The sequence below is a fragment of the Homo sapiens genome, chromosome 2, assembly GCF_000001405.40.
Source record: "Homo sapiens chromosome 2, GRCh38.p14 Primary Assembly".
Classification (NCBI taxonomy): Eukaryota; Metazoa; Chordata; class Mammalia; order Primates; family Hominidae; genus Homo; species Homo sapiens.
The window spans coordinates 137,489,619-137,508,308 of NC_000002.12; the positions used below are offsets into that span (position 1 = coordinate 137,489,619).

An 18,690-nucleotide genomic window follows, 5' to 3' on the forward strand; every position below is an offset into this window, starting at 1 on the left:
TAAAATCACTGTTGAGTCACTCTGTAGATGATGTGACCCAGATTAATTATAATTTGAATGATTAAAAAGAGAAAATCCTGGATCAGGACCCAGCATCATTCCTAATGTGCACACACACAAATACACATTCTAAATATATCCTCAATATGGAATGTTTTTATATTTTGTTAGCCTGAAATCACCATATTTTAAACCACTGATAGTTTAAAGAAAAAAACCTCTCCCTCCTTTACTGTCTTTTTCCCACATCTCTGCATGAACATCACTGATTGTGAAATCTGTGGAACAATGTTCTGTTTTTTTTGTGTGTGTGTGGTGTCACGTAGAGAAAACACTTGAGCAACTCAAGAACAATAGATATTCATTAGAAAAATCCATCAGAGAAATCAATGGTATTTTGAGTTTCACTGAGGACAAATGCAAATACATTGAACATACCATATGATCAGAGTAATCACCAAGCTAGCAGGGATGATGATATAAACTGTATTAAAGTGAGTATAGCTAAGACATGGGCATTTCCTAACCATTAGTAATTGGCCACTAGAATTCATTCAGCATGCAAAGGATACCCATTAAGTCTCAAATAAGAGCAAGCGACTTTTGGTCATGCTTGATAAGACAGTGACTCTTCAGAACTTTCTTTTTGATGGTGTAGAATCCAAAGTGAAAATATTAATTATGTTTTTACATTGATGACACTTCCCTGTTTAAATACACAAAGACCATATCTAAAAAAATCGATTCCTAATAATGTTAGAAAGTGAGATAAGTTAAATATTTTCATAGGGTGCAGCTGGAGCTTTAAAAGTTACTTTTTTCTTTTTTTAATTAGACATTATTTTTAAGGCAGTTTTAGGTTCACAGCAAAGTTGAGCAGAAGGTACAGAGATTTCCCATATAGCCTCAGCCCCTGCACATACATCATGGTCTACCCAACTGTCAACATCCCCCATCAGAGTGCTACATTTTTTACAGCTGGTGAAACTACATTGACACAAATTATCAGGCAAAATCTATAGTTTACATTAGGGTTCACTCTTGGTGTTATTTATTTTTGTCACTCAGAAATGCCAGCTGAAGCATTGTTGTAGGAAAAGTGATAACTTTGCTAATCCTGTATATGAAAGTTTATCCTACTAGGGTCTGAGGGTCCCAGGGATAATGGACATAGTCTAGAAAGTCCATAAGTTGTCCAAAAAAATCTTTGCATGTATGCATTAATGAATATATTTTAATTACGAAGACAATTGTTAGAAAAATAATAAATTCAAGCATGTTGTGGATTATCCAAATAACCAGATTTTATCCAAACATGGTTTTTCGAAACCTTCGTTTACATTTGTGTGTTTGGTCACATTAGTAACAATCACTTGAAAGGTTTATTTTAAAATCTGAATCTGAGTTCCATAGACTAATGAAGGTTTATAGAGTTATTTATGTGACCCCGTATTTTTAGATTAGAGACACATTGACCCAAGGGTGAGTAATTTCCATGTGTCTAATGACACTGTGCAATGAAACTATAACCTCTTAACCAAACAAAGATTGGCTTTTTCAGTTAACTCTTGAAGGAAACACGTCTCCCTAACATACACACAGCTGTGTGTATACAAAAGAAATCGTTCCTTTTTTCCCCTTAGCTAGATTTGAAATGAGGGAAATGTGAAGAGGGATAAAAAGGAAATACATTCACCTTTGTGAATTGATCATGGAAAAGACTATCAGGAATTATAGGTGTGGCCAACGTTTTTGATGGTACTATTACTATGTTTTTGATAGAACTATTACTATTTCTGAATTTGCCCATTAATCTGGGTTTACATAACACAAACTAGAAAACATATATTAAATCAAGTCATGTGCTTAATTGTATTTATATGATACCAAGCCACATAGTTAACTTTTACTCCCTTCATCTCAATATTTTTAGCTAAATGGACTAGTATTCCGTCATCATGTGGAGAGAGGTTTAGATTGGGGTTGGCCCAAAGGCTGAGCTGTTGACAAATGTCTTCATACCAGGATGCTAGAAGCCAGTTTACTGTGTTGGCCACAACTCTGAGCCAAGACCTGTTTCATGCTACACATGTTGAAATCATTCCAGTTCCTTTTAAAAAGATTTATGTCTTCCCCACTATTAGTGTCAATTGAAAGAAAGTTAAGCCATTTAAGAGGACAAATTGGGAAAAAAAATTCTGGAAAGAGATGAATTAAATTGTTCCTAGTTTAGTGTATAGCTCCATCAGTTTCTAGATTGTTTCTAGTATTCGATATGTCATGATTTTCTGATTTTATTAAACCATCAGTGATGTGTTGGTCTTTGAAAAATGTAGAGCAATTCTTTTTCTTATTTTTTTTTTCTTGAAGAGTACTACTACTAATCTGGTTTTGGTTTGAGCTAATCTTTGCATCTCAATAAGGAATACAAGAGCAATCTCTTGATTAGCTCTATTTTCAACTAAATTCATTCTTTACGGTTTTACATTTAACCCTGAACTCCTTTTCTGCTTCTTTAGGTTACAGTACTTCAAAGCAAGGGAAATGAAACTCCATTTGCCTACTTTCTGAACAAGTTCCAAACCCACTTAGGGAAAGCTTGCTTACTACCATTTTATAACTACAAAATGACAAATTTAAGTTTTGAGACTCCTTTTTCTTTCCATCTTATACCTATTTTCCAGATTCAACATCCCTACCCACTCATTATCAATTATATACATGTGCCTGCTAGGAGTCTCTTACCATGCCTCTCCTATTTAGGCTTATTAATCTCCACACCTCTACTTTTGTGTCAACTATACCAACTCTAGAGAAGAAATCATCTCAATTGAAACAAGTTGTACTGTGGTATAAGTAGGTAATAACTGGTAGATGTAGTATTCTCATCTGCCCTCAATACTTTTCCTTGCCAAAGAAACATCTGTAATTCAAGGTTAGTAAAGAGGAGGTAGATAGGTTTAATGAAAAGAGCTTGAGCTTTAGAATCAAGAAGACTTGTGTAGACATTCTGGGCCCCATTTATTCCTCCTCTATAAAAAGGTATAAAACAATGGTTACTTTTTAGGAATTCTGCCACAATTGAATTAGATGATTTATCTAAAGCACCACACATAGTATTTGGCATAAATTAGCACGTTAATAAATAACACAAGAACTTAGCACTTAAAACATGATACAATTTCAAGTATTATTAGCAATAAACTAAGAAAAGTATCTTTGGGCTGGGCGTGGTGGCTCACACTATAATCCCAGCACTTTGGGAGGCCGACATGGGTATTACCTGAGGTCAGAGATTCAAGATCAGCCTGGCCAACATGGTGAAACCCCGTCTCTACTAAAAATATAAAAAATTAGCCGGGCGTGGTGGTGGGTGCCTATAATCCCAGCTACTTGGGAGGCTGAGGAGGGAGAATTGCTTGAACCTGGGAGGAGGAGGTTGCAATGAGCCGAAATTGCACCATTGCACTCCAGCCTGGGCAACAGAGTGACACTCTCTCTCTCAAAAAAAAAAAAAAAAAAAAAAAAAACAGGAAAAGAAAAAGGAAAGAAAAGTATTTTTGAACAACAGTTCTTTGTTGTTGTTTTAGTATGTTCTCCATAGTATTCCTTGAATCTTTTCCAGAAAGAGATTTACAGGAAGTTAGATACTGCATTTACTGAAGACGTTTCTTTATAGTTTTAACAATTGCTTTCTCTAACCCTTTGTAGAGTGGGTTTTATTATTTTGGCCACAAAGAGGCAGGTTAAATGTCAGTAAGAGATTAACTTTATTATATGTAATCCAAGAACATTCTGAGGCTAATGACCTGCAATGCAGCTGTCTTCTGTTGTCCTAAGAGCCAAGTCCTGCTACTCCCTGCCTGCACTTCTTACTTTACACACTCGTACGGTGACACAAGAGAGGGCACTCATGGCGCACAACTTCCACCACAAGGAAAGTCTATTATCATCTTCAAGTAAAAGAATGCCTGGTGGTAAAGGTTAGCTCGTGAGTCCAATTTTACCTTTGGTTTATGCACTGGAGAGAAACAAAGCCACTGCAGATATAAGCCAAGTTGCTGACAACCTTTAAGTCTGCAGTCTTCTAAAATGCAGATGAGAGAAAAGCAACATAATGTAAATGTGTTATCCCCTGCTCCTATTTTCTTTATTTAATTTTTTATTCTTTCATTTTCATCAGATGTATTTTAAGAAGAGTGATGCCAATCCAAGGGGAAACGTACCTAGCCCTGGATATGATACCCTTTGTGTCGTTTGGAAAGTGATGCTGTTAATACCTCAGTTGAAATCTTCACATCTCATAGTACATTACCTATTTTTATATGAAATCAGCTGCTTCATAATTAAATTTGATGCATGACATTTTTGAATGTAAAATTTTACTAGTAAATAAATTGAACAATAGCATATCATTTTCCCAGGAAATCAATCTTCCTGCCTCTTGATTAACCAAAATGCATGAAAGGAGAGCATTCATTATTAAATTTTAAAGCTGTGGTTAACAGAAAGTTACTAATTTAATCTTTCCTGTGGAAAATAGCTTACAATTTATTAGTCTGCCTCACAGCCTTATTAATAGAGCATAGTATGCTGAATGAAATAAATGGACTCTTCTCTGATGATCAGACCCCCTCTATTTCCTTAACATCTTCATTTTTATAAATGAGAGTACAGTAGATCAAGATTCATAAGATTCAGGAGAGCAGACTATATCAACTAAAAAAAATTCCTTGGAATTTACTCCTTTAAAAAATAAATTAGCATTTATTGCCAGATTTTTTTCTAATGTATTTCTTTCTGAGAGTCAAGGACAGAAAAAAAGAAATAAAGATGATAGTTAGCTGAGATCCTGTACCCTAGTCAGAAATGAGCCTGTGATCATGTGACACATGGATATTTCTGTGTTCCATTTTCCTGTGCTTTGTAAGGATCTATTCCAGCAAGCAGAACCAACATGGCAATCTCATATTTCTTAGGAAGCATTTATTAAACTCACCAGACCATCTCTGCCTACCACACTCTTACTCTTATTGAATGTTTTTATTACCTTACATCTACTTTTAACTTCTTCATTTTCCTGCTACCATTTTTTATATCAAGAGAAAGTTTAACTTCCCTGACTTTGTAACCATGGCCCTTTGTGATCTGGTGCTATGCCTCTATGGACACCCCTCTCCCAGTCATCTAGAATTACATGCAAACATCTTTTCTTTCCCACAAACAGTATACTTTCATTCTCATTCTGCCAACTCAATCCATGTATCCATTCTCTACCTCTGTAACTCCTACACATGCTTTAATACCCATATTTTGTATCACCTTCTCTAAGAATGCTGCCTTGATTACCATCTCTACCCCACACCACACAGAGTGCTACTTTCCATTTTCCTGGCATGCTGGGATTCCTTCTCTCACTCATTACTTACCACAGTCTAATTGTTTGTTGTTTGTCTGTTTCTCTCTATGGTAGGTAGAATCCTTTGCACAGTGCTAAGTATTGTGTATTCAAAATGTTATTTCAGCCAATTTGGATTATTTTTTTTCTATTTAGTGGTTCCTGATGAAAATGCATAATAACTTTAATAAATATACTATTTAAAATTAAATAATACCCAGGAAAAACTGGCAGGTTTAATATTTCCTATAGCCTGACAATAAGGCAATAGGCCCTTTGCCTTTTCTTCTTTCTGTTCCTTAAAAGCAGCTATCTTCTGATCTCTAGCTGTTATAGCCACTTTACCCACCTGAACCCTTTTCGCTTGTTGGTATTGGCAGAAAATTAGATCTTAACTCCCTCAATCTATCACCCATAGTAATTCCAAAATCCAGGGAGGTCTACCCTGGGGTTTACACCCTCAGTCTTACGGAAGTGTTCTTCTCAATGCAAATAGCCACTTCCAAGGGTAAAATTTCATCGCCCCAAGGATTATCTTGGGAGGGACTCTAGAGTGAGTAAGTTAGTAATTTAAAAGACCCAACACTCATCTCTCATTAACCATCCAAATGATTGGTGCAAGAGCCTGCTGACAGGTCCCAAGTATCCAACTGCCTCTCAGCCTCTCCAAATTCCCCCTTATCCCATACATTTCTGAGCAGTGAGTGGTTACACAACAAAAAGGGACTGTTCCCATGATTATTTTCAAAACAAGGTAGTTCTGCTCCAATAGAGCTTTGATATTTGTAGTGGGACAAAATATATGCCTCTTAACTTTTCAATGACATATTCTGCCAAAACTAGCAATCAAAACTCCAGTTCTACCCCCCTGGCAAGCCCGCTAAATTTATTGGCCAATTTTATTTTCTACAAATAATACAGAATTTTTATTTTTCATATTAAAAAATAAAAGTCAAAAATTTTATTTCTAGTGAATCACATCTCAATTTAGACTCAATTATTGGGGTATCTGTTTTACTGAGTTTTTAAAATAGCATGGGCTCCAAATCAGAGTCACAAAAATTTAAGAGAGAAAATTTTGAAATTGGTGAGTGTAGTTTGAGCCATCCTTTGAAATTCTGCAAGTAGAGATATATCAAAGAAAGTTACATTTTTAAAGCTACCAAAGACTTACAAGCTCAGTTAATGAGCCCTCTCATTTTGCAAGCGATGAGTAGATTCCAGGTCCAATGCTCTTAGCTGACTTTCCTAAGGTCTCCTACGGCCAAAGACTGATAGACTTGGACTACAGCTGGCCTTCTGATGACCAGATTAATGTACTTTTCCCTCCAGGCAATCCAGCACTTTGTACATTTTAAAGATAAACTTAAAATCTAGGCATGTTAATATGCGCTCTTACCCCAAATTTTGTCCCCTCCCAATAATGGGCCTATTTTCTACCTCTTTGAGTCCTTTTTGTTTTGTGTGCATTTTTTTAGACTCTCAAATGTATAGCCAGCTTTTATTATGTGCAGATTTCTCTCATACAGCAAGCTCTTTTAAGTTATTACCAGTATAATTACCATTGCATCAATAATTTCTCTCCTTCAACTGCACGTTTAAAAACCACGGGCAATATTTGCTCTCTTTTGGCAGCATAAATCTCTGATCCATTTATTTATAAGATAAACTCTTGTAATTGGAAGGATTCTAAAGTGATCATTATGTTGTAAATACCTCATGAGTAGAGGCAGTTTACAAAATGGATTTAATTTCTTTCTGTAGAGTTGTGACTTCTCATTAACTTTTTTCATAAAGATAATTTTTAATTCAGGCATAATTTTTTGAGTGCCTATCATGTGCCCGGTCTTAGAGATACGGAAATTCACATACACAGAGGTTACCCTTGAGGAGTTCCAATCATCTAGTTCGTGTAGTCTGCTAGGGTCAGCAAATTGCAGAAGTGGAAGGCAAATGTGATTCTTTGTATGTCCATTCTTTCTATTCTGCAGAGAATAGTCATAATTTTTATTTGGTCCTCTAAGGGATTGTAATTCAAAACAGGGTTAATAAATACTACTAATTCAGCCTAACCTTTTTCTAAATTGTAATATGCAGGCAAAGACTTCCAGAAAGATTGGTAGTTACTTTTTTAGGCTTCTTATGAATGAAATTCTACATAGACACACATACAACACATACACAACACACACACAGACACACACACACACACACACTAGATCTCACTTTAATCCTCTTTTTCTTGTTAAAGAAAATAACATTCTGTTGATTAACATTGATGGTAAGATAACTTTTAATATAATTAACTTTTCTTTCAACTACAGTCTGGTAAAATAATCGTAGACCTTAAAAACATTTCACATGACCCTAATTTTTTCAACTTGTTAGTAAACTATGTAGGTCTTCCCTGAAATCTATATTATCTATGATGATTTTAGCCAAAATCCTCCCTGCCTTGTTTTGAGACTAGACCCACTTCCAAATGTACCAATTGCATACAAGCTTTCCAAGATAGAATATAGCCAAATTAAGAATATATATGTATCAAACATATAATTATACATACATATCTGTATATATATATGTATGTGTGTGTGTGTGTTATGTGTGTGTGTGTGTATTTCCCCAATGAAGAATTTCCTCTCGCATATGGATAAAAATACTTCATTTCTTTGAAAACATCTCTGACAGCAGTATAACTTAATTTCAACTGGCAGACTGTTGACTAAAATTACCCTCATGAAATAAAAGCATTATTAAATGACAGAAAGGTTTCTTAACTCCTTCATTGGCTCACATTTTTAAAGTCCCACATATGTAACTTTAAGAGGGTAAACTAATATTGGTTTTCATGGAGTGCTTGTTTCTTTTAAGGCTCAAAAACCCCAAGGAAATATTTTTCTATTAAAATGAAGCGAAGTGTAACCTTCCTGCCGAGAACTTATATTTGATGATCATTTACTTTCCTCACAATGCTGGACACTAAACACTATACAAGGACTTGTGGCACCTCAGCACGCTGGCTCTACCACCATTGCATATTAAATAATCCAAGGCATATGGAACTTTCCCTTATATAAAATGGTACTACAACAGCTAATAAATTTGGTGATTTCTAGTGATCTGTTAAATATGTTCAGATAAGTGTGAAATTAAATTAATCTATGGATTGTTGTATCTTCTATTTCTCTTCATTAAGGATGTATTTATTGAGCTCCCCATCATGTGCCAAGATACCGTGTTAGGCACAAGAAATAAAAGATGAATTAAGACTGTTTAGGTCAGTATATCACATCTCTGTAGGAGGGACAGTAAAGTCTTTTTTTTTTTTTTCATGTGGAAAGTATATTATCATGATTTAGACAATTGAATTGATTTCATAATCAAGTAGTTCTGAAACTTGGCTGTGCGTCTTACTTCGTAATTCCCTATCCTTAAATGAAAGCATCTGACCCAGTGATTTTATATGTCTTCTTAAATCAAATGATCTAGAACAGCTTCATCCACCAATCCTAACCTAAGCTTCAGAGTCTACTGGCCAGGGAACCATCTTTGGATCTATTGGATGGGGGTATTTTTTTTTTATTGTTGAAGAGAGAATGGAATCTGGGGGTAGGGGAGCTCTTAATTGTTGGTTGGTTGTGTTGTAGTCACCCATGGCAATCCTTCATCCAGTAAGAAACAAAAGAGAAAGGGAGAAGGGGTAGGAATTGGCCCTTTGGACTAATTATAAGAGGGGAGAGAGGTGTTATATTGTGACAACATTATCTTCATGGTAGCCCTTCCAAAACCCTGAGAGAGCAGAGGCCTAAGTGAGAGTGAGCTGCCTCATGCTGAAGAAGGGAATACCTCCCCACTTTTTTCAGGAATCTCATGGAGACCTTTGGAAGATCAGAGGCAGGTTGCTCCCTTGCCATGGATATGGGCATTGTCACCAGGACTACTAGCAGGGGCAATACTGAGTCTCCCTCAGGAAGTGGGCAAGGAGGTACAGGATCTCCCTTACGTAATGGTGATGGAGAGCCTGAGTCACAGGCATCTTTGGGCCCCTGTTCAGAACCACCGGAAAACTCAGGGTAGGCTGTGTGCCTCTTGCAGGAGAAGGGTAAGTGTGGTAGTCGCCTGTAAGTAGATGAGGCAAGATCAGAAAAATCTCAATTATTGGTGAAATGTGACCAATTATATTTAGTGAAGTACAGAGGACATTTGCTTCTTCCATCTATTCTATTACAGTGTACAGTTCCTCTTTTAGTCTCAATGGTTCATTGTAAATCTAAAATAGTATACAGATTGCAGGGACTTGTCTAACCTGCAGAATTTTGTGAAACTTTAAATATATCTTGGTACTTACAGAAAAAAAAATGTGTATGGATATTTTCAGCCTGGCTGAAGCCCTAATACCATCATATCAATGCTTGCATAAGCAAAGTAACAAAATAATTTTCCCATTGCAACATTTCGTTATGTTCCCATTCCTCAAATTTTGCACCTACTCCCAGTTTTGCTTTGGGTGATCCATCTCATCTTCTACTTTTGATCTCTTGACATCTATGGCAAAGAGTACTAGCCTTTCAACACTGAAAGGTTTTCATAAGATTCATCTGAATCTTTATCTCTAAAAAGCATCGAATTGCTTAAGTTCTCACCAATGGATATGAGACATGACAATACTGAAGCTCCTTCAATTGGCTTCGTGAACAGAGCTATCAACAATGGGGAACATGAGCTGGAGCAGAAGAGGGCAGACTGAGACATACCATATGGTGGCTGTAGCTGAAAGCCAAATGCATGAGTGCACACACATACACACCAGAGGACTATCAGGAATTCTTGGAGGAGAAACACATCTCATGAGGGCAGGCAATACAGTCTAATCTGGAATCAATGAGGAGCATATTGAAACTATATAAATCCTGGAGGAAAAGATAAAGATAAAATATTCTACATTAAAAGGAATGCAGATTAGAAGAAATATACGATGATAAAGGACTATAGCAGTATGTAATCCTTGACAATACAGGAAAAAATGACAAAACCATATGTTTCAAGACACCCCACTGTTTATACATGGAGTTCAGACAACAACCCCCCAATTCCAATCAAAGGCTCCTCTTTCCTTGAAAAACCATCACTATTTAAATCCTGACCTAATTAAAATACCCACTTTGATATATCAGAATAAAGAACTGAATATTGAGTAATGAAACCTATCTGAGTGCATAAGATTAAATGATATTGTAACAACTCAAGCTAAGTATAGAAGTTGAATCTAAGGTTCAATCTACCACAGGAAAAACAAATTAAAGCAATTATTTGAATAATTCAGAAACATGTTTTTTTGACTCAGTAGCAAAGATCTAGACATTTTAGACATGCGTAGTCAGGCTAACGGCCCTGCTGTCATTGCAGTTTAACATGTGCTGCAGTTTGTTCTAAAATTTAGCCTTTCCAGTGCCTAGAGGGTTGACACACCAACAAAGAAAATGAGGCAAATTAGGAAGGTCTAAATTATAAGTCAGGCACACTTATGTTTACTTTCCAGCCGTATCACTTACCACCAGTGCAACCCTGACAGTCATTTAACGCTCTGTGAAGCTATCTTTTAAATCGTAAAATGAACATACTAATATGTATGTCAAGTGTTTCTGTGAGAATCAAATGAAATGATATGTGTGTAGCTCCTAATATGGAATCTGACATCCAGTAAGCACTCATTGCTATATTTCATTTTGTTTATGCACATGTTAGTAAAACATGTCGGGGGCATTTCTATGCACATGAAGAGCACATATTATGTATCCACTCAGGTCAGTCAATGCCTCCTTACAGCCTTGCCCAGAGCTTAGAGCTTGGTAATTGCACCAGAAAGGATTGTTGCAAATGTGAATTGTGACTTTATACTTAGTACCTTTTATGTTTCATGGTTTTTTTTTATATTAGAAAGGTTTAAATCAGGAACAAAGATTTATAGTTTTGTTAGATTTGTAAGATTAAGCATCTCAGTACTTCACACAAGGGTAAAAGCAAGTGCATGGCAGGGGCAGTTAACATTTAGGATCACCCTGAATTGTGACTTTTACTTTAACAGGGTGATTCTGTCAGGGGGTATATTGCTTCACCTAGCATCCTTTCATGAAATCATAAAACTAAACATTCACTGCATCTGCCCCTTTTGGAATAAGATGCTATTGACATATGCAAATGTATTTTATTAATCAACATTGAAGATTATTCACATAGTGAAAAGAAGAGGATTCCACAATCTAGCAAAATTACCTCTTTTAATAGAATATGGTATATTTCTTTTTATGAAGTATCTGAATACAAGCCCAATAGTATGGAATGTTGAATGAATTAATCCGTAATATTAGAGCCATTTCAATATTACATTGAGGGGTTCTGCATCCACTTTTTGAAAAAAAAAATTTGGTAAAGGTATTTTATTAAGAGATCAAAATATATAATCTCAAAATTTTTGATTAGGTTTTATACTATGACATATTATGAAAATGAATTCATTCTTCCATTTATTTTGCTATTATTCATCTTAGATGATACCTCTATAGGTTTCTTCAGCAATAGGAACCTTACCTTAAAGTAGAATGAAAGTTAGAATCACAACTCCCTCCCCGAAAAGAATCAGTGATGCATTACCAATATGATTGTACTTATAAAAACCACTTGAGTAATTTGCATTTAATTCAAGATTTCCTCAAGAAAATTGCCTATGATTTACTAATCTAACTCTGGGTTAGCAAGGAAATTAGCATCTCTGAAGCCACAGAATAGCAGAGATAAGTTAAATTTAGTGGTTAATTGTGAGGGTAGTTAACAGAAATCTAAGCAGGGCTTTCCCCAGTGAACGATGTTGAGCTTCCCCTGAATGCAACTGGAAGTGCTTTATCCGCTGTGATCTGGCTAATGAATTAAGTAATTTAAACAGGAAAGGATTAAATGGGTACTGATGATCAATGCGCAAGCTAAAGTGTTGATTTGTCTGCTTTCAGTGTTTATCCTAAACCTAAATACAAGAAACTCGTAAGCCAATAAATGATGTGTAGTGAAATGTTTTAGTATAACCTGAAAATATATTAGATAATAAATGATGATGAAGTCAGGTTCTGTGCATTGAGGATAACATCCCTGGATTGATTATTCTCCCACAATAAATATTCTTTCATTATAATAGTTTTGAACTTCAATGGTTATCTTAGTAAATTAGATACTAAGTCAGGTTAGTAGTTAACTATGCAACATAAATCCTTACTGACAGATAGATAAATAGATAGATAAACACACACGTATATATGTATGTGTGTATATATGTATGTTTGTACACATATAAAGAGAAAGAGAGAGAGACAGATACAGAGATAGGAACAGATGGATAGAAAAAGAGAGAAAAACAACGAGAGGGAAAGGTCAGAGACAAATCTTACATTTGAAATGGAGTACATTGATTCCATTAATAAAATCTCAAGGGTGAAATGAATACAACCTAGCTTCTTGCTAACCTTGACTTGGTCCTAAGTAAATGCTTCAGAATCAAGCTATCTTTACTGTGAATTAAGACAAAAATGCACTGAAATCAACTAACTTTGGGAAGCTGGAATTCTCATCATAACTACAATCAATAACTTAGACAAATATAAATAAACTTGGATATTTAATCCTTGAGATAGTCCCCACTTTGATTAATCCAGTGCTAAATATATTTTGTCATCAAATTACTCTTACTTTGAAAACTACTTCTGTTTAATCTCAGCCCCGCACAACAATATCTCTGATTCCATGGTTTATAGTTTATAATGTTTATTTTCAGGTTGATGAATTTATAATATTCTTAGAGGCCTACAGAAAATCATGAAAAATGTGTATATCCATGTATGGAATATAATATAAATGGAAAAAGTCCATTCACTCTGTAATTTTTAGAAGATGCTAGTCATTACTGCATATTACATATATTACATAATAACAGGCTGTCAACAGTCATAAGTCTTTCCAAAGAAACAGCAGGGAAAGATACATATTTTTAAACAAAATATGCATTCTATCATTGTTATGTACAGAGTATCATGCATCCAAATGGACTATATATTATAATCTGTAAGCAAGCATACCATTGTTATAACTCTGGGACATATTTTTTTTTCTTCTTAAAATGAACTTTGTTGAAGTTTACTTTGTATATAGTAAAATCCTAAGTATACAATAGAGTTCAGTGAGTTGTATACACTTGTGTAAGTAGCAGCCCAGTCATAACACAGAATATTTCTCCTACCCTAATCAGTATAAAAAACATTCCTCACAAAAAAGTCTCCTTTTCTAGTTGCCGCCACTGTTGCCCTAGACCCTGGTCTTGGTTCAAAATCACAGCTATTCCCCATTTTAAGCTTGTCCTACACCCTGTATGAATAAACATGTTACGTACTGAGGGACAGAGACATGAGAAAGAATTTTGAAAATTCTACATGGCTGTACATGTAGCTATTATGTAATGTTATATTTTTGCCTTTTTCATGAGAAGAATATCAAGTGATGCAGCTGAAGAGTCATAAAAACAGCACAGGCATTGGTGCAAAACAGATCTGCTTTTACATTCCAGATTACCTACTTTCTTGATGCATAGTGTTCAGTTCAAGGTACATAATATTTGTGAACCCTAGTTCCCTCCTCTGTTAAGCGGAAACAACACCCACTTATAGAGTATAGAAAAGAGAAAGTGAGCCGGGCGCGGTAGCTCACGCCTGTAATCCCACCACTTTGGGAGGCTGAGGCAGGTGAATCACAAGGTCAAGAGATCAAGACTATCCTGGCCAACATGGTGAAACCCCGTCTCTACTAAAAATACACAAATTAGCTGGGCGTGGTGGAATGCGCCTATAGTCCCAGCTACCTGGGGGAGGCTGAGGCAGGAGAATCGCTTGAACCTGGGAGACAGAGGTTGCAGTGAGCCAAGATCATGCCAGTGCACTCCAGCCTGGCGACAGAGTGAGACTCCATCTCAAAAAAAAAAAGAAAAAAAAAAAAGAAAGAGAAAAAGGAAAAGAGAGAGAAAGTGAGCTTCGGTGCAGTGATTGTCATCTTTATGTTCCTGAACATAGCTTTCCCTCTAATTACCCTTTAAAGGCCACTTCTGGTTCATCTCAGTTCTTTACAATACCTCTGACTCCATGGGTGATGGTTTACAATATGTATTTTTAGGATGTGGAATTGAATTTATAACATTTATAGGTTATTGAAGAAATTAATGAAAAGTATGTATATAGTTTATGTATAGAATAAAAGGTAATTGCAAAAGAAATCCTTCCTCTGTGTATTTTTGAGAAGATGATAGTCATTATTGCATCTGTCTAATCTAAGACCTACTCATTCTCCCTCAACTCATGCCATGCTGCTGAAAATGTTGGTGTTGGATTATTCTGCTCCCATCTAATCCATGTAGTTGACTGTTTTTCTTTATGAGGATGTCCAAAATAGCAGCAAGTCTAACTATGTGCTTTCAACAAGGAAAGGTATTATCATCTTTACCTAAAATGATTATTGACATAATACAAATATGATTGAACCACACAAAAATTAGATCCCCACTGAAGATTTGGTAGACTGTTCATTATTTGTCTTTTCTGTGGAGTCATCTTGGGTCCAACATCTACCTGAATTTAATGTTGGATTATACCTTCAGGAAAGAATATGCGAGAGTGCTGCTTTGCTGATGAGGCGATATCCATATCTATTGGGTCAGTTTTATAGTTTCTGCAGATCAGGAAAGCTGCCAAGTAAAATAGTATAGAGATGTGTGTTAATCCAGGCTGTCCAATAGGCAGACTCCAAAACAAGATTAAAGGCAATGTATTAGAGAAAACGACTGTGAGAGAAAATACAGTGGTGCTGGGAGAGCCAGTTTGCCATGATGCAGGTCTGACCTGGACTGAAGGAGACAAGGAAGGGAGGAAGGGAGGAATGGAGGAAAGCAGGAAGGGAGAAAGGGAGGAAGGGAGGGAGAGAGGTAGGGAGAAAAGGAGGGAGGGAGGGAGGAGCAAATATTTTAGAATGCAGTCCTAAGAGGAATTCAGGAAGGCCATTGGAGGATCGTTGAGCCTGTCCCAATTTGCCTGTCCCACATTTCCCAAGAAGGGGCCTGCTTTGTATCTCTGCTGCAGTCATCACAGGCTGGGAGCAACCCACAAGAAGCATGGACCAAGTGGTCATTTTCAGACTTTAATAAGAGAAGATGATATGCTTTAATATGCATAGAAATCACTCAGGGTTTTTGTTCAAATGCACATTCTGATTCAGTGGCTCTGGGGAGGGACATGAGCTTCTGTGGCTCCAAGTTCCAGGAGCTGCTTATGGCACTGGCCCCTGGACCACAGGTTGGGTCACAATGGTAGGAACACTTAGCTATTGGTCAGTCCATCCACATTTGTGGATTCATTGCTGTTCCATTCACTGGCAACCTGGGAAGCCCAGTTCCGCAGAGCTTTTGTACCAGCCCAACTCATAGGCCACTGTCTAGTCTATAGATGACTGCTCTGTGCCACGTGATCATGCCTGGACCAACATTCTGCGAACGGAGTCCTGGGATAAAGTTGTACAGAGTGGCAACTTTGCATAATAGTCAGTGTTTTAAAATAAAGTAGATTAATGGAAAACTAGAGGTATATATAGCAAGGCCAACAGATGAGAAGGTGACTGCCATTGAAAAGACAGTTGGTATACTCACAGTTCCCAAGAGGAGGGGCACTCCATGTAGTGGGGCCCACATTGGATAGCACCAGGGCTGTCAGGAAGCAGAGGGAGTGCAGGGACTGTGATAAGAGCTTCTATCATGGTTTTCCAGGGAAGAAATGGATAAGGCAGGGTAAGCAGGCTTAAGATTGGCTAGTTATAATAACTGGCATAGTGGCCAGCTTTAATTATCTGGTACCTGGCTTAGGGGTGATTAGGACAGAAGGATAGTGATCCTGTGTGTAGGAGCTTGTAAAGGAGGTAGTTGAGGTGTGGACTCTGGATTGGTCTGTTTGTGTTTGAAAAGCACATCCCTGGGGAAGGGGACTCCTCCTGAGGAGGAGGGCGGCTGAGTGGGAGACAGGAGGCCAAGGCAAGGTGACCCAGGCCTATCATTAGGTTGTTCAAAGCAAAGCATACCCTTCATAACCACTCAAGGCAGAAGTTACAGCTTCACATTACAGAAGCTAGAATGAGGCTAACACAGTCATTGGCTTTGTTTCAGAACTGAGTCGTGGCCACAAAAAGCCCTCAGATGCCTCTTCTTCAAAAACTTCACCATTTACACACAAGGGGGATTTTCTTTAGATGTTGGATATGTCCTTGGGTAAACCATTTTCTGGTCAGATTAGGCATCTTCTTTCCTTCTTTTGGATTCTTTAACGTTCCTGAATAAAAACTGATTCTAATTCTTGATTCTATGCTAATGGAAACCAATTAAAACAAGTCCTGTATTTCTCCAAGTAGACTGAACCTACCTGCCTGTGATTCTCTGTGATTCTGACTCTCAAACGCTGCTTTGTGGAAAGCACAGGGAGATGTGGAGACACATAGATAACTACTCAGGAGGGAGGTTTGAAAAAGCCCACAGACAGACTTCTCCATTAGCATTTACCACACAAAATGCTTCAGAGAGTGGACATTCTTCTCTTCAGCACTCACTCTTTTACAGGGCTCTTTCAGGTTTTAGGATGACCTCCTGATGAAAACCTGATTCAGTGCTAATGGACTGTAAGCTCTCGTAGCCTGGGAATGTTGTGGAAGCTACTGCAAGATGACCCAGCCTCCGGGCTCAGTAGGCAGCTAATAGTAAAAATATCTGAATCAGAAAGGAGTCCTGCACAGTAAATTTCAAGAAAGGTGAATTAGCAACCTTAAACTCTGCAGACCCACTCATCTCCAGAGGTTTGAAAGAACTAACAATCACATAATTGGTGTTTTCTGAAGAAAGTTTTGTTTACTTCAGTTTAACAATACAAGCTCAGCTGGCAGACTCCAGGTGCCTCAAGATATTTGAGAGGGCAGCACAGTACATAATCGTATCCTTGAAAGGAAAATAGATAACCCCTCCAGGAACTGAGTATTCTCATTCATACAAAATCTGGCCTGTTTGTCAACCCTCGTCTTACAATGACAGCTAGCAATGGGAGAGAAATTACAAATGGCTCTCACTCCAGTGCCAGAAAGTAACCTTCCGGCTTCTCTTCAAACCACAGAAAATAGAGCCACCTTAATACAAAGTCAAAGAATTGCCAGCCTTGGGGAGGTCAAACTCCAGTCATGTATTATAGTTCAGGGATTTTTAGAACATAAATCATACCAGAAATTCCACTGTCTTTCTCCCTTGGCAACAAATTCCCATAACTTTGGGGTTCGGTGATTTGAAAATTCTGGAGTGAAGTTTGATGGAATAAGCTTAGTCAGATTCAGAGCTGTCCTGTGAGCAGCTAGCTTTGCCACTTAGGCAGGCAGGTGGTTTAAACTGCATGAAGTCATAAATCCCCGCTTCCTCCTTTGTGATTGTAATAAGGGCCTGAATTAGGTAATAAATGGGAATAAAGTTCCTGTAAAGTTATAATTACCCTTCAAATAGGAGATTAATTTCCAAACCTGAATTTTTCTTACTATGTTTAAATCCATTTTTTTCTGTTTCCTTTTTCTTCCTCTTTTTCTTTCTCCTTTTTTCTGTCTTCTTTCCTCTCTCTCTACTTCTTTCCCTCTCCCTCCCTTCCTTTCATTAATCTTTGCTTTTGTCCTTCCTTCCTTTCATTCTTCCTTTTCTGTTTTGATTTATGTGTGGCGAAATTGATTACTTTCGAAAGATGATTTGGGCTAAAATAATTACCCCAGTCAACAAATTGAGCCAGCATTGTAGAACCAGGCTTTCTGGGATCAAATTCTGTCTCCTCTAAGTGGCTGTGTAAACATGAGCAAGTTACTTAACATATTTGTATAATAGTTTCCTCATCTTAAAAAGTAAGAAAGATAATAGTATCTACTTCACATGGTTCTTGTAATAAAAAGTTAGTATTTGCAAAACAATTAAAATAGCGACTGGTTTACAGTAAGTGCTGTATTTGTTAAAGTACCTTAAAGTGTTACTTGAAAAATGACAAGATAAACTGAGTTTAGATTTCAGTTTTCTGAGGGAAATCCCTGTCCACTTGTATTTACTTTTTAAATTCTTTCTCTCTTTTTAAATTTCTGGTTTTGCTTTTTGTTGCTGTGTTTTATAAACAGGGCTCTGTTGCCCAGGCTGGAGTGCAGTGGCACACTCA

The 18,690-nt window shown here is 37.0% G+C and overlaps 1 protein-coding gene and 1 long non-coding RNA gene across 4 annotated transcripts in view; one reads left to right on the forward strand and one right to left on the reverse strand.

Annotated features, from left to right (window-relative positions):
* THSD7B (thrombospondin type 1 domain containing 7B) overlaps nt 1–18,690 on the forward strand; it is a 912,174-nt gene that overhangs the window by 724,074 nt on the left and 169,410 nt on the right. The window lies entirely within an intron of this gene.
* On the reverse strand, nt 10,226–17,818 carry LOC105373634 (uncharacterized). Of its 2 annotated transcripts, none has more exons than XR_923361.3 (3): nt 17,733–17,818; nt 15,058–15,173; nt 10,226–10,311 (listed from the first exon to the last, which is right to left on the reverse strand). It is a non-coding gene; the product is annotated as an uncharacterized LOC105373634 (long non-coding RNA). The 2 variants fall into 2 exon arrangements; XR_001739718.2 differs by having other exon boundaries at nt 10,229–10,311; nt 15,081–15,173.